The sequence below is a fragment of the Homo sapiens genome, chromosome 14 (genome assembly GCF_000001405.40).
Source record: "Homo sapiens chromosome 14, GRCh38.p14 Primary Assembly".
In the NCBI taxonomy this organism is placed as follows: domain Eukaryota; kingdom Metazoa; phylum Chordata; class Mammalia; order Primates; family Hominidae; genus Homo; species Homo sapiens.
The window spans coordinates 102,655,207-102,671,979 of NC_000014.9; the positions used below are offsets into that span (position 1 = coordinate 102,655,207).

General features: G+C 41.3%; 1 protein-coding gene and 1 pseudogene across 2 annotated transcripts in view, besides 1 other annotated feature; one reads left to right on the forward strand and one right to left on the reverse strand.

Annotated features, from left to right (window-relative positions):
• RCOR1 (REST corepressor 1) overlaps positions 1–16,773 on the forward strand; it is a 137,913-nt gene that overhangs the window by 62,558 nt on the left and 58,582 nt on the right. The window lies entirely within an intron of this gene.
• On the reverse strand, positions 6,987–7,522 carry RPL23AP11 (ribosomal protein L23a pseudogene 11; annotated as a pseudogene).
• Positions 7,530–8,267: an enhancer, noted in NCBI's record as "OCT4-NANOG-H3K27ac-H3K4me1 hESC enhancer chr14:103129073-103129810 (GRCh37/hg19 assembly coordinates)". NCBI's record gives its function as "activates a minimal SCP1, AML or CMV promoter by ChIP-STARR-seq in naive H9 embryonic stem cells {active_cell/tissue: H9 hESC(naive)}" and the evidence as "EXISTENCE:reporter gene assay evidence [ECO:0000049][PMID:30033119]".

The window sequence follows — 16,773 nt, forward strand, 5'->3', positions numbered from 1 at the left end:
TTATGCACAAGAGAAGTACATTTCTTAGGCATTCCTGGCCTTCCATTTTCCCTTCCTGGAGGCAGTTTTCTGATTTATTTTCTACAAGGATTCTGTTTAAATACTGGAGAATATCTGACCTGTTGTACTTTACTTTAGAATGGCAGGAAGCTGAATGACTCATGGGCATTTTTCCCTTTGTGAAGCTCATTGACATTCCTTCCTCTCAATACCTTAACTATGGCATGTTTTATAATTTGCTTTTGTTTTTGCTTTATCACAGTATTTTCCTATGTTTTTTATAGTCTTAATTTTTAAGCACTGCTTTAGGTATCTATTAATAGTTCAGAAAGTTGCGAAGATTACAAGCTCATATTTGTGAAAGTGTCTGGCACATAATAGGTGATCAATAAATATTTCCTTCTAGCTTGTCTGTCCCCTATCTCCCACTGGTTGTATGTATGAAACAAAAAAATGAAGGAGAAGGCTGAGCATAGTGGCTCATACCTGTAATCCTAGCACTTTGGGAGGCTGAGGCGAGCGAATTGCCTGAGGTCAGGAGTTAAAGACCAGCCTGGCCAACATGGTGAAACCCCGTCTCTACTAAAAATACAAAAATTAGCCGGGTGTGGTCACAGGCGTCTGTAATCCCAGCTACTCAGGAGGCTGAGGCAAGAGAATTCCTTGAACCTGGGAGGTGGAGGTTGCGGTCAGTCGAGATCGCGCCACTGCACTCCAGCCTGGGCAACAGAGTGAGACTTTTTGTCACACACACACACACACACACACACACACACACACACGTGAAATAAACCTATGAACCAACTAATGCAGTGGATTCCAAAATTAAGATTAAGCTTGTGTAAGTTGTAATGTTTCTTGATGTACCCATTTATTTGAGTGGAAACAGATTCTTTTCATTCTTTGAAATCACTTTGCTGAGATTTTTTTATTTTTTTTATTTTTTTTTTGGAGACAGAGTCTCGCTGTGTCGCCCAGACTGGAGTGCAGTGGTGTGATCTAGGCTCACTGCAACCTCCACCTCCCGGGTTCAAGCGATTCTCCTGCCTCAGCCTCCTGAGTAGCTAGGATTATAGGCATGTGCCACCACACTCAGCTAATTTTTGTATTTCAGTAGAGGTAGGGTTTCACCATGTAGGCCAGGCTGGTCTCAAACTCCTGACCTCAAGCGATCCGCCTGCTCAGCCTCCCTGAGTATTGGGATTATAGGTGTGAGCCACGGTGTCCCGCCAAGCTGAGACATTTTTAAGAAAATGTTTCTGTTTTTTTGTTTATTTGTTTGTTTTGAGATGGAGTCTCACTCTGTCACCCAGGCTGGAGTGCAGTGGTGCCATCACTGCAACCTCTGCCTCCTGGGTTCAAGCAATTCTCCTGTTCCAGCCTCCTAGGTAACTGGGACTGCAGGCTTGCCACCATATACCTGGCTGATTTTTTGTATTTTTAGTAGAGATGGGGTTTTACCATGTTGGCCAGGCTGGTCTTGAACTTCTGACTCAAGCGATCTACCCACCTCAGCCTCCCAAAGTGCTGGGATTACTCCCACAGCACCTGCTCAGAAAAGGTTTCTTTTCTTTTCTTTTTTTTTTTGAGATCAGGTCTCACTCTGTCGCCCAGGGTGTAGTGCAGTCGCGCAATCTCAGCTCACTGCAACCTCCGCCTTCCAGGTTCAGGTGATTCTCTTGCCTCAGCCTCCCAAGCAGGTGGGATTTCAGGCATACACCACCATGCATGGCTCATTTTTGTATTTTTAGTAGAGAGGGGTTTCACCATGTTGGCCAGGATGGTCGCGAACTCCTGACCTCATGTGATCCACCCGCATCAGCCTCCCAAAGTGCTGGGATTATAAGCGTGAATCACTGCACCTGGCTAGAAACATCTTCTAAAGCCTAATCTTTTTTTTTTTTCCTTATATAATTTAGGTTGACTATGTAAACCCAAAACACATAGGGTAGAAACTCGTGAAAAATATTTTTGAGGATATCTTTGCAAAGTGTTGTGCCTCACGGTGCTGGATATGGATGTGTGCTTAGTGTCAGTGCATAGATTTAGGATTTCCCACCTGTATGTATGCTTTTGGTGAGTCCTTTTAGGCGATATGTCCTCATGTTCAAGGAGTAATGGCATACTGGTTCATTTAAACCCATGTTTTAATCCTAATTTAAGACCGATTTACTTCTTCTTGGAGCTAATTTCTTAACTTTTCTGATGATGTTTTTGTTGCTTAAGTTAAGACTAATATAACACAGAAGTCTTACTCATCCTTTTTGATATTAGAGATTTTGGTTTATTAATCTAGTGGAATTTTAAATATCATTTTACATGTTTACTCTCAAGATCTGATGATTGACTGACTGGGTGCAGTGGATCACACCTGTAATCTCAGCACTTTGGGAGGCCAAGGCGGGCAGATCACTTGAGGTCAGGAGTTCGAGACCAGCCTGGCTAACATGGTGAAACCCTGTCTGTAGTAAAAATACAAAAATTAGCCGGACTTGGTGGTGCGTGCCTGTAATCCCAGCTACTGGGGAGACAGAGGTGAGAGAATCACTTGAACCCCAGAGGCGGAGGTTGCAGTGAGCCTAGATCACTCCATTGCACTCCAGCCTGGGCGACAGAGTGAGACTCCGTCTCAAAAAAAAAAAAAAAAAAAAAGAAGATTGAATTAAGGGCAAACTTGGAACAGGCCAGTTTCCCATTATATTGCCTCTCTGAAACAAGTGAAAGAGTTTTCTTTATGAGGGGTGTTCTTTTTAATTTAATTTAATTAATTTTTATTTATTTATTTTGAGACAGAGTCTTGCTCTGTTGCCCAGGCTGGAGTGCAGTGGCATGATCTCGGCTCACTGTAACCTCTGCCTCCCAGGTTCAGGTGATTCTCCTGCCTCAGCCTCCCAAGTAATTGGGATTACAGATGCCCACCGCCACACCCAGCTAATTTTTGTATTTTTAGTGGAGACGGGGTTTCACCATATTGGTGAGGCTGGTCTTGACCTCTGAACCTCAGATGATCTACCCACCTCGGCTTCCCAAAGTGTTGGGGTTACAGGTGTGAGCCACTGTGCTGGGCCTTCTTTTTAAAAAAGGTTTTTCTGGCCAGGTGCGGTGGCTTTAATCCATATGTGTGAGACCAGGCACGGTGGCTCATGCCTGTAATCCCAGCACTTTGGGAGGCAGATCACCTGAGGCATGAGAAGTGCTTGAACTAGGGAGGTAAGAAGTTGCAGTGAGCCAAGATCACACCATTGCACTCCAGGCTGGGTGAGAGTGAGACTCTGAAAAAAATAATAATAAAAATGGTTTTCTTACTTTTATGACTTGAATTATGGAAAGTTTTTAGAATGTGACTCTTTTCTCAGGAACAGGATGGCTACCTACCTACCCCCCATCCTTTTCCTGTATGCTATGGATTATCAGACCCCTCACTTGGGTTCCTCTTACATCACCAAGGTGTGCTTGTCAATACCCAGAAACCAACACTGATACATTACTAAGTTCCACATTTTATTTAGATTCCAATAGTTTTCCCATTAATGTCCATTTCTGTTCTAGAATCCAATCCAGGTTACTGTATGCATTGCATTTAATTATGATGTCTCCCCAGTTTGCTGTTTTTCACATGACTAGACTAGGGTTATGAATTTGGGGAATTCATATGATTGGAGTGGTGGGAGGTGTAGTGCATGCTACTCCATGATTTATTGCTGGTAATGTTAATCGTGGCCAAGGTTGTTTCCCTACTGTATACACTCACCACCTTCCATACTTATTTTTTTGGAAACAAGTTAGTAAGTCCAACCTACACTCAAGTCGGGGAGATTTAAGCTCCATCTCCTAGAGGGGAGTGGGGAATATTTACATAAATTATTTGAAATTCTCCCACGAGGAAGCTGCTTTTTCTAGGAAAGGTCTTTGCCCGTTATTCTACCGACTTACTGGACTTTTTATTTGACTTTTTAAAAAGAAGCTCTTTAGATAAAATCTCCATAAATACTTAGATAAATTACTGCAATTTTATATTTGCATATGAACAAGTGGAGTTTTGTTGATGCAGGGTTGCATTGGCCTTCACTATCAAAACAAATGTCTCATCTGATCAGCATTTATAAATAGTGAGGTACCAGAATCATTAAGGCTCATAAAGTCTTCCGTTTTTATTTTGGCTATTCTGGTGGTGGGTAACAATATTAACAACAATAAAAATTCATCTTATTTTACTGGAGATTCCTGCAAAGTGGCAGAATACCAGGACAAGGAACCAATTCTGGCACACATGTGTCAAACAAGAAAGCTCTGGGAATGTAATAATGTAATAAAGTGTGGTCGAGAGAGCTCTGGGCTGGAATAGGCATGGGGTCCTTGACACTATCACCTCTGCCAAGACACTTCATGTGTATGGTTTCCCCACCTTTAAGTAAACTCTATTTATGAAGTTCTTTGTAGCTTTAATAGTTTCTAGAGTTGCTTGAATTTGGGGTGACTTCTTGCAAGGGTAATGTGAAGTAGTGTCACATGGACAGTAACGGAGAGGTATCTGCTGCTGCCATTTATATAATAAATCTGAATTTGGAGGCAGAGAAAGGAGGCAGAAAGTTTGGTAAGGACGTTATTGCAACCTGAATAAGCCACTTAGGGCCTAGATCAGTGTTTGGGAATGTGGGAGAAGACAGCCATAGTCAAGAAGCGTGAAGTAGTTAATGTTGAGTTATTTTTAGGTGGTTTTTCTGTTCTTTTTACTCCAGACACTGACTTTCGTAATAAGATAAATAATCTGGTGAGTCGCATGCTCATGGTGTGCTGAGGCATTTAGCCAAGCAGCTTATGCATGTATTATCTCATTTAATTCTGTCACTATGAGGTAGAGATTATCTTTAACCATTGGTTCCAAATGAGAAAGCCCTGTTTGAAATAATTTTTCCAGTGTATTTAAATTTTGTAGGTACACACCTAGAATTTCAAACTGATGGTCTGAGTTCTGAGCCCATCTGTTTAATTCATCCTAATGGGTTATCTTGTGGATATGCTGATTATAGTAAAACAACTTTAAGAATGTGATATACATTATGAGTGATACTTGTGGTTTGAATGGGTTTTTTTAAACAACATGAAAATTTGAAGATATTTTGCATAGATTTGCTTTTGGGTAAAACTTTTTTTTTTTTCATATCTTCTGTAATTAACTTCTTTCCCCCCTTTTTTGAGATGGGGTCTCATTCTGTCACCCAGGCTGGAGTGCAGCTTGATGTATGATCATGGCTTACTGCAGCCTTGGACTCCTGGGCTCCAGCAATCCTCCCACCTTAGCCTCCCAAGTAGCTGGAAGTACAGGAGTGCAACACCATGCCCTGTAGAGACGGAGTCTTGCTGTGTTTCCTAGGCTGATCTCTAACTCCTGGCTTCAAGTGGTTCTCCCTACTTGGCCTCCCACAGTTTGATTAGAGATGTGAACCACTGTGCCCAGCCAAAATTAACTTTTTAATCTATTCTAAATCAAGAAGAAAATAGATGTGTCTTTTCTGGGACTAGTAATGAGAAATTGACAGCATCTGGTTTTTGGCTGTTGTTAAAGTGTGATTATTACTATACTGGTATGCTGATAAAGAGATTGCATGGTAATTTTCATCCTTTCATCTAAAAACATAATATTATAAGGATAGATATTTCCTTAGTATGGGGTGACTTGTGTAGATTACTATCTCATAAATTGGTTCAGATTAGTTTTTAAAAAGGGCAAAATTGTATATTAGTGATATTGCTCAGCTCTTTTTCAAAGGGATAAAGCACTGTAAAGAGAGAATGTGGGGGTAGAAGTCTAATAAAATCCTCACAAATCTGGATCAGTAACAGAAAAGTCAGTTATAGGCCAGGTGCCATGGCTCATGCTTGTAATCCCAGCACTGTGGGAAGCTGAGGCAGGTGGATTGCTTGAGCCCAGGAATTCGAGACCAGCCTGGGCAGCATGGTGAAACCCTGTCTGTACTAAAAATACAAAAAATTAGCTGGGCGTGATGGTGGGTACCTGTAGTCCTAGCTACTTGGGAGTCCAAGGTGGGAGGATTGCCTCAACCCAGGAGGCGCAGGTTGCAGTGAGTCGAGATTGTGCCGCTGCACTCCAGCCTGGGCAACAGGGTGAGAACTTGTCTCAAAAAAGAAAGAAAGAAAAGTCACTTATAATTATGTGGGCTTTAAAAAACCTGACTGATAGTGCTCTGTTTTTAGTTTCACCAAAAGATAGGTAGTACTTCCATCCTCTTTCATGAAACTACAGTATGTCTATTCTCAATGTTTCAAAACCTTGTAAGACTCAGAGGGAAGAAATAGTTTCTCATTAAGAAAAATTTAGTCAACAGTATAATTATGTATTAAGTGCTTCAGGAAAAGCAATGGGGGAAAGTATTTCCTACAGTATTAGGTCTCTCATTAGAGGTGAGCAGAGGGAGTTCCTTCAGCGCAGGACGGGCATTTCTGCAGGTGAAGTGGGATGAGACAACCGGCTATAGCAAGATGTTAGCATATGTAGTTAGCTTATGGAAACATAATTTGAATTGGACATGAGTTTTTGTTTGTTTTTGAGGCAGAGTCTTGCTCTGTTGCCCAGGCTCTATTGCAATGGCACGATCATGGCTCACTGCAGCCTTGAACTCTTGGACTCAAGGAGTTCACCCACCTCAGCAACCCAAGTAGCTGGAACTACAGGTGTGAGCCACAATGCCTTGCTAATTTTTTTTTTTATTTTTTGTAGTGACAGGGTCTCACTTTGTTGCCCAGGCTGGTCTCAAATTCCTGACCTCAAGCAATCCTCCAGCCTTGGCCTCTCAAAGTGCTGGGATTATAGGCGTGAGCACTGTGCCCTGCCTATGAGTTGTTATAGACTGGGTGATTTTGTAGTAGGCAGCAGTTTGTTGTCATTTGCATGTTGTACTTCATGTATGGTTTTCCCAAGTCATTAAATGTACATACTTCTGCAACTTTTTATTTTTTATTTTTTCTGGTGAAAAGATATACATATATTTAGAATTAGCCAGCTGGACTCAGTTTAGATGACCCCAATTTTGTTGGCAACATCCAAAGCATCATAATCAGGAGCTAGTTGAACGTATGCCTCCTTCTCTCCATCAGGCCGAATCAGGGTGTTGACCGGGCCACATCAATGTCATAGAGCTTCTTCACAGCCTGTTTGATCTGGTGCCTGTTGGCTTTAACATCTACAATGAACACAAGTGTCTTGTTGTCCTCGCTCTTCTTCATGGCAGACTCAGTGGTCAGCGGCAACTTGATGATAATATGGTGGTCAAGCTTGTTTCTCCTGGGGGCGCTCTTCTGAGGATATTTGGGCTGCCCCTGGAGTCGCAGTGTTTTGGGCCGCTGGAAGGTGGGTGATGTGTGGATCTTTTTTTTTTCCGGCTGTGGACGCCTTTCAACACTGCTTTCTTGGCCTTCACAGCCTTTGCTTTGGCTTCGGCTTGAGGAGGGGCAGGAGCTTCCTTCTTTGCTTTCGGTGCCATCTTGTGAAAAGGGCTCTGCAGCTTTTAATGTGTACAGTTTCCATGATATGATTGTACCAGATTATAAGATTATGTTGGACATTTGAGTTCTTTCCAATTTATTGCTGTTTTCAGCAGCACTTGATGAATAACTTTGTAGATAAGTTTTTGCAAAGCTTTATGAATATTTTCTTTTGGGATAAATTGCTAGAGGCTCGGGTAAACATTGCCAAACTACCCTTCAGAAAGCCTGAACTTATTTACAGTACACTTATGGTATGGTTTGGCTCTGTGTCCCCACGCAAATCTCATCTTGTAGCTCCTATAACTCCCACATATTGTAGGAGGGACCTGGTGGTAGATAATTGAATCATGAGGCCAGATCTTTCCTGTGCTTTTCTCTTGCTAGCAAATGAGTCTCATGAGATATCTAATAGTTTTAAAAAGGGGATTTTCCCTGCACAAGTGCTCCTCTCTGCCTGCTGCCATCCACGTAAGACTGAGTTGCTCCTCCTTGCCGTCCGCCATGACTGTGAGGCTTCCCCAGCTGCATGGAACTGTTAAATCCAGTTAAACCTCTTTGTTTTGTAAATTGCCCAGTCTCTGGTATGTCTTTATCAGCATTGTGAAAACAGACTAATGCAACTTCTCTCAACATTTCTAGTGGACAGGTTTTCTATGTTCCCTTCTAACATCCTGTTTTGCCAAACTTTTGCAAAGAATTTCATATTGTCTTTTTTCCTAATTCAACCTTTTGTAAGGAACTCTTACAACATTGGTGTAAAGGTATGTCCTTAGCTGGTGGTACAGTAGTTAGAAGTTTTCTCTGGGTTATGGTGATATTGGGAGTAATTGTGTTATAGGATAATCTGGGCTCTCTGTATTTCATAAGATTGTGGTGCCTCACCATCAGTCAGACTGTAGCTTCAGGGCTTTTTTTTCTCTTGGATTGCTTGGTGGTGAAATATCAATACAGCCTTGCCCATTCTGATTAGTGTGTTACATTACTGATAGGGCAGTGTTAAGAGAAATAGGAGAAACCTGAGCCTAAAACATTTCACTGTGAAATTAATTGGTCTCTGAAGTGTTTTGTCTTTGTTTAGGTTTGACGATCGTATGTGGCGAAATTACATTGGTGGTAAATGATAAGCTTGTTATATTGATAACATGGAAGAAAAGTGTTTCTGGTTTCTCTTAGAGAAAATCGATTCCCAGTCCAAGGCACCTGTGAGTCCAAGAGAATGAGAGAAGGTAAGATGTTATTAGTTAGAAACTGACTATACAATTCCAGTTTCTAGTGCAGAGTTGACTTCAGTAGCATTTGATTAGCATCTAACTTCCTTCTTGGGGGAATCAGAAAAGGGACATAGATTAGGCATTAGCTGAACTCAGATTACTGGAAAGTGATTGAGTCAGTTCTATTTTTTATTTTTATTTTTTGAGACAGTCTCACTCCGTCACCCGCTGGAGTGCAGTGGTGCAGTCTTGGCTCATGTCAACCTCCGCCTCCTGGGTTCAAGTGATTCTCATCCCTCAGCCTCTCTAGTAGCTGGAATTGCAGGTGTGAGCCACCACGCCCAGCTGGGTTTGGTTTTTTTTGCATTTTTAGTAGAGCCAGGTTTTCACCATGTTGTCCAGGCTGTTCTTGAAATCTTGACCTCAAATCGTCTACCCGCCTGAGCCTCCCAAAGTGCTGGGATTACAGGTATGAGCCACCATGCCTGGCTTTGAGCCAGTTCTAAGGGAAATTATTCATTTATTTTTGTCAGCTTGTAATATTGCAAATCATAGTATTTTTGAAATAACCTTCCCATGGGAATAGAGTTTATGCCCTTAAAGGGTAGAGTGCTATTATAAAGAGAGATACAAGAAGAGAGGGAGTGGGTGGCATTCCAGAGATCAGGTCTACATGAGTTGCTGCCCAGCCTTCTTGGTTCTCAAACTTGTCGGTCTGGATTGCTGTGTTTAAGGAAAGGGAATAGAACAATATACTCCCTTTCTAAAATTTTTCATTAATTGGCTACCTAACCTATGTTATGCATATTAATTTACTTAACATTTATGAAGTACTTATAATATGCTAGACACTGAAGATACTATGGTCTGAAAGATGGCAAATAATAGAGGAGAAAGAAAATCATAATTGCTATTATTTATGAAGTATTAAGTACAGGCAGTTCTTAAGCATTCGACTTAGTATTTTTCAACTTTAAGATGGTACAAAAGTGATACACACTCAGTAGAAACTGTATTTTGAATTTTGATCTTTTCCTCGGCTAGCAATATGTGGTGTAATACCCTTACATGAGATATTCAACCCTTTTTTTTTGTTGTTTTTTGGAGACAGAGTTTTGCTCTTGTTGCCCGGGCTGGAATGCAGTGGCGCAATCTCACTGCAACCTCTGCCTCCCGGGTTCAAGCGATTCTTCTGCCTCAGCCTCCCGAGTAGCTGGGATTACAGGCATGCACCACCATGCCTGACTAATTCTGTGTTTTTAGTAGAGATAGAGTTTCTCCATGTTGGTCAGGCTGGTCTCAAACTCCTGACCTCTGGTGATCCACCCACCTCAGCCTCCCAAAGTACTGGGATTATAGGTATGAGCCACCACACCTGGCCTCAACACTTTTTTTTTTTTTTTTTTTAAATAAAATAGGCTTTGTTAGATGGCCTTGCCCAACTACAGGCTAATGTAAGTGTTCTGAGCATGTTTAAGGTAGGCTAGGCTATGATGCCCATTAGGTTAGGTGTATTAAGTGCATTTTTGGATTACAATATTTTCAATTTGTGATACATTTATCAGGACTAACACTGTTGTAAGCTGAGGAGCATCTGTATGTACCAGGTACTTAATATTAAGGTGGCCTTTCTAATTCTCATAGAAACCCATGCAAGGTAGGCATTATCCTCTCCATTTTTCTTTAGGGTTAGTGAAGCTAAGTAGCTTGTTCGTCATCACTCAATAACAAAGTGGTTAAAATGGGATACAAGTCCACCATGGGATTGAGTCCCAGATGGGAGTTCAGATGCTGACCAGTGTTAGGATCTAAGTGCAAGTCACTTAACTCCTCTTTTCAAATGTGGACTACAACAGTTCTTATCTCATAGGGCTTTTTTGGTGTGTGTTATGTGACAGATAGGTGAAGTGGTTAGCCCAGTTACTGGCACGTAGTAATAGTTAATAATTATATTAGATCATACTGGCTCAAAAGCCATTAATAGTAGTTACTGCTGGTAGTTGAGTCTTACAAAGCCATTGTTTTCTCCACATGTCTTTATGCAAATCATTAATGACAAGAGCCTAAACTGTGATAGAGAAGGTGTCCCCAGTGTTATGAGAGTATTGAAGAGGAATGGACTGCTAACCTGGACTAGGAGAGTAAGCAGACTTACAAAGATGGTGATCCTTGAGGGGTCTTGAAGCATTATTAGGAGTTAGCTGGTGGGAAAAGATAAAGAGAAGGAAGTGGGTTAGAGGAAAGTCATGGCAAAGCAAAAAGGCCCAGAAATGTAATGACTGTGTGAGGGATAGAGTCCTGAGGGTGAGACATAGGTTAGAAAGATAAGCAGGCCAGATTATGAAGGGTCTTGCATGCCATGGGTTTTTTCCCTAAAGACAGCGGGGGAAGCAGCAGAAGGACTTTTTATTTTGGAATAATTTTAGATTTACAGGAAAGTTGTAAAGATAGTACAAAGAGTTTCCATATACCCTACACCCAGTTTCCCCGTTATTAACATCTTACATTAGTATGGTACATTTGTTACAATTAGTGATTGATTGATTTGTAATTATTACCTGAAGTTCATAATTTATTCTTATGTTCTTAGTTTTTACCTAATACCCCTTTTCTGTTCCAGAATCCCATCGAAGATACCACATTACATTTAGTTGCCTTGTTGCTTTAGGTTCCTCTTGGCTGTGACAGTTTCTCAAGATTTTTCTTGTTTTTGATGATGTTTTAGTTTTAAGAAGTACTAATCAGAAATTTTGCAGGATGTTTCTCAATTGGGATTTGTCTGGCATTTTTCTCATTATTGTACTAAGGTTATGAGTTTGGGGTAGGAAGACCACAGACGTAGAGTGCCATTTCATCCCATCCAAGGGTACATACCATCAACATGACTGATGACTGCTCATGTTGACCAGTGTTGCCTGGCGGAGTACTTTACAGTGGAAACGTCTGAGTTTGTCAGAAGTTTCAGCTGTAAAGTACTCTTCCATCTCCTGCTCCGCCCCTTTCCATACAACCCCCTTTTTTGGAAAGAGGTCACTATGCACAGCCCACACTGAAGGGGAAGGGAGTTATGATCCATATCTCAGGAAGGACTTTTAACGTGGAAAGTGATTTGATCAGAATTATGTTCCAGGGCCAGGCACGGTGGCTCATGCCCATAATTCCAGCACTTTGGGAGGGGAGGCAGGAGGATCAGTTGAGCCCAGGAGTTTGAGGCTGCGGTGAGCTATGGTCATATCACTGCACTCCATCCTGGACAAACAGGGCAAGACCTTGTTTCTTAAAAAAATAAAGAATGGGCTGGGCGTAGTGGCTCACACCTGTAATCCCAGCACTTTGGGAGGCCAAGGCAGGTGGATCAAGTGAGGTCAGGAGTTCGAGACCAGCCTGGCCAACATGGTGAAACCCCATCTCTACTAAAAATATGAAAACTAGCCGGGCGTGGTGGTGGGTGCCTGTAATCCCAGCTGCTCGGGAGGCTGAAGGAGGAGAATTGCTTGAACCCAGGAGATGGAGGTTGCAGTGAGCTGACATGGTACCACTGTGCTCCAGCCTTGGCAACAGAGTGAGACTCTGTCTCAATAATAATAATAATAATGATAATAATAAAAAATAATGAATTGTGCTTCAGAAAGATTGCTCTAGCTAGTGGAGAAACTGAATCTGGGGAGACCGAATTTAGCCTGCAACCTTTAAGACAGGACAAGATGAGAAACCATGAAGTTGGAAACTGAAGGTCAGTGGCAGCAGGGTTGGAGAGCGATGGATTTGAGAAAAGTCGAAGAGATTAGTGGATGGGGCTCAGTGGGTTTTGCAGAGTGTGTGTGCTCGAGTGCTAGTAGCAGATGAGGGGACTCCAAGATGACTTGCCAGCCATATTGCTGGGAGTTGGTGACTATACAAGTGATAGTGTTAATTTTTTTAGGTAAACAAGAAGAAACAGCTTGTTGTTGATAGTGGGAAGGGTGAATGAGAGGGCAATAAGCTGTGTCAAGATGCTTTTTGAGTTGTTCTTGGCTTATATGCGTATTCTGTCTTGAGATAAAGATTTAGAAGTCATTACCATAATAAATGTGGTTTGAGAAATTTGCAGTGTTAGATGTTATGGCATAGGAAGAGTAATTAATACCAGATGAAAAAGAGGAACCCAGGGAACACTGATGTTTAAAAAAGTGGTAGAGAAAACGTGGGGAAAGGTCAACTTTTGTTAAAATCTCTTATTCATGTGGCTGTTTAATTCCTCTACATCACATCCTCTCTTCTGTTCACCCTGGAGGTGTAAAACACTATACCAAAGGACAGAACACACTATACACGTTTAGAACATTTCTTCTGAGGATAGTTACTGCTGCGGTAATGCAGGTACTGTTGTGGTGATGCTAATGAGAATAAATCTTGCTAAAATTAAGAATCAAGACAGCTGAAGACCTATGGAAAGCAATTGACCGAACAGTACTACTTCAGGTCAGGTAAGCAGTGGCAGTACAAGAATGAAGAATGGATTCTTTGTTACCAAGCAATTAACAATCTAGTTGGGTATTTACTGGGTAATACAATACAAAGTAAGCAATGGTAATTGGTTATGTGTATGTCAGTTGTGGCATGATAGTTTCTACCTCGGCTATCTGCTGAAGCCCTTTCTGTCTGTCTTCTCTCCCTGTCCAGCTTTGTTCTTGCCTGCCTTTTTATTTTTTACAGTCCCTCTCCTTTTTTGCAGGGGGGCGGGGCGGTGCTAGTGGGAGTATACATACCCCTCGTTAACCACCTGTGATGTAAGTTAAGATTTTTTTTTAAATGTTTCTGTTTTTTAAAAACAAGTGAATAGAGCATTTATTATCATGGAGGATAAAATCCTCAAAGAAAAAATCTGTTTAGCTTTTAAATTCTTCGTGAAATCGCTAATCTTTGAGGCGAAAAATTTTTTCCCGTAAATTTAGGAGAACATGAGATTTGAGTTTTTAAGGACTTTATAGCGTGCCTATGTTTATTGTAGATTTTAATTCCAGAGAGCTGGTGATTGGAAATCATGGACCTATTTGTTCCAATTTAAACTTTCAGCATTTAAAAAGGAAGAGATAAGAGAGAACCAGACAGGAGGTATATAGTTTGTAGAAAGATACAGATATTTAATGTAATCCCAGCACTTTGAGAGGCTGAAGCGGGCAGATCACCTGAAGTCGGGAGTTTGAGACCAGCCTGACCAACATGGAGAAACCCTGTCTCTACTAAAAATACAAAATTAGCCAGGCGTGGTGGCACATTCCTGTAATCCTATCTACTTGGGATGCTGAGGCAGGAGAATCGCTTGAACCCAGGAGGCGGAGGTTGCAGTGAGCTGAGATCGCGCCACTGCACTCCAGCCTAGGCAACAAGAGTGAAACTCGGTCTGAAAAAAAAAAAAAAGAGAAAAGAAAAGATACAGGTATTGAAATACCAAAGTTGCTTCTGACTTCCTCATTTTATAGAGAGTGAACTGTTGTCAGTTGAGAATTCTTAAGCCATTTAACTTAAATGCTAAAATACTTAATGTGGATATCATGGGGAGGAAAAATGTTCTTTACATTCTTTGGTTTTTGATCATAATGTATGGTGTCTTTAAAATCTAGGCATTGTAGCATAATGGTTAACACCACCGACTCTGTCTTCTGCTGTTTTCATACCTCTTCCTTAAGCTTCGACTCAGCTTCACTGCTCATAGGTGTGATGTTGGGCAGCTTACTTCATCTCTCTGTGCTTTAATTTTCTCATCTATAAAATGGATAGTCGTAAGATTGAAATGAACTAAGGCACGTCAAAGTACACAGTGCCTAGCACATAGTAAGCATTTATAACTGTTACAGCAATAGTAATCATATATACTCTTGCCATTCCCTTTGATTTCTATCTTTTTGATTACCCAACGTCAGAAGCCAAAAATTTTGGAGTCATAAAACGTTTTTTGGTCCCTAACATAATTAAGTTAAATTTACTCATGCGTAGCATCTCAGGATATATTGAAAGTATGGGTGGCCAGTCCATACATTTAAGAATAAGAATTATAAGAATTTAGAGACAGAGCCTTGCTTTGTACCCCAGGCTGGAGTGCAGTGGTGTGACCTCAGCTCACTGCAACCTCTGCCTCCTGGGTTCAAGCAATTCTCCGGCCTCAGCCTCCTGAGTAGCTGGGATTACAGGTGTGTGCCACCATGCCCGACTAATTTTTATATTTTTAGTAGAGACGGGGTTTCACCATGTTGGACAGGCTGGTCTCAAACTCTTGACAGCAAGTGATCTGCCTGCCTTGGCCTCTCCCAAAGTGCTGGGGTTACAGGCATGAGCCACTTCACCCGGCCAGAATTTACCTTTTTAAAAAGCTTTATTTATTATCTTTTTGAGTCCTACTGATGAGTAATTTGGAGTTTCATGTGTCCTTTTTATATAGGTATTAGAGTATGACAATGACATCTATAATGGGATAGAATTTAAATTTTAAAGCAAACCAAACAGCTGTCCTATTTATGAGTGCTAACTTAAAGATGGTTTGATAACATGAAGGTAACGGTACTATGAATGTGAATGTAATGACCCTATATATACACAATAAATATACACAATATATATACAGTTCTCTGTTTATACTTTTCAGCTTCAGTTTTCTTGTTCTGAATTTAAGCAAGAAGGTAGCATTTAATTCATAGCTTATTGTGCTACTCCTGTTTTCATACCTCTTCCTTAAGCTTCTGGTAAAATTAAAACATTTCAAGTAGAGTTTAGGATTGTAGAAAACAAGGCATGTTGTTAAAACCTGTAATTGTGAGCGTGTCTTAAAATGACAAGATTATTATATATATATATATATTTATTTATTTTACTTATTTATTGATTGATTTTGAGATGGAGTCTTGCTCTTGTCGCCCAGGCTGGAGTGCAGCGGTGTTGTCTCAGTTCACTGCAACCTCTGCCTCCCGGGTTCAAGCAATTCTAGTGCCTCAGCCTCCCAAGTAGCTGGGATTACAGGCACCTGCCACCATGCCTGGCTAATTTTTGTATTTTTAGTAGAGATGGGGTTTCACCATGTTGGCCAGGCTGGTCTTGAACTCCTGACCTCAGGTGATCCACCCATCTTGGCCTCCCAAAGTGCTGGGATTGCAGGTGTGAGCCACCGCACCCAGCCCTATCTTATAATTATTGATAGCAAGAAAAGCATATTCACCATTTGTTTCAGTTCTCATTGTTTTCGCTTCCCCTTCTGTGTTTATCCATTTGGCCATTCTCTTTCTTGTGTTCATCTTTCTGTTCTGACTCAGGTCATTGAGGATATGGTTGGACCCTGAATGGTAGAAACACAACTCCCTCTTCCCCTCGACTCCACAGACTTAATGTGATTTTTTAGGGTATAGGGGAGGGGGTTATGAGAATGTGGGAACCCAAGCAGGTGTTCTAATGGCTGTGGAGTAACCTGTCTTCTCCTTCCAGTTAGTTTCTGTGTTTTGTTTGTTTGTTTGTTTTAAAGAGACAGGGTCTCTCCCTCTGTCGCCCAGGCTGGAGTGCAGCAGGGTGATCATAGCTCACTACAGCCTTGAACTCTTGGGCTCAAGCAATCCTTTAGCCTCACCCTCTGAAGTAGCTGGGACTACAGGTGCTTACCACCATATCTGGCTAACTTTTAAAAACTTTCAGAGATAGGGTCTCACTGTGTTGCCCAGGCTGGCCTTGAACTTCTGGCCTCAGCTGATCCTCCCACCTCAGCCTCCTGAGTAGCCTTGCTTTTTAAATAACAGCTTTACTACAATAAAATTAACAAAACACGCAGTTCACTTATTTAAAATATGCAAAATTCAGTGGTTTTCGGTATATTCAGAGTTGTGTAACTATCACCACAAATCAAATTTAAAACATTTTATCATCCCATGAAGAAATGCTGTACCTGTTAGCAGTGGCACCCTGTTATTTCAAATGCCCTACAGCCTCTGGCAATCACTAATCATCTTTCTGTCTGGACGGTTCATGTAAATAAAATCATACAATAGGCTGTGGATTTTTGTGCATGTGACTGGCTGCTTTCACTTAGCATAGTGTT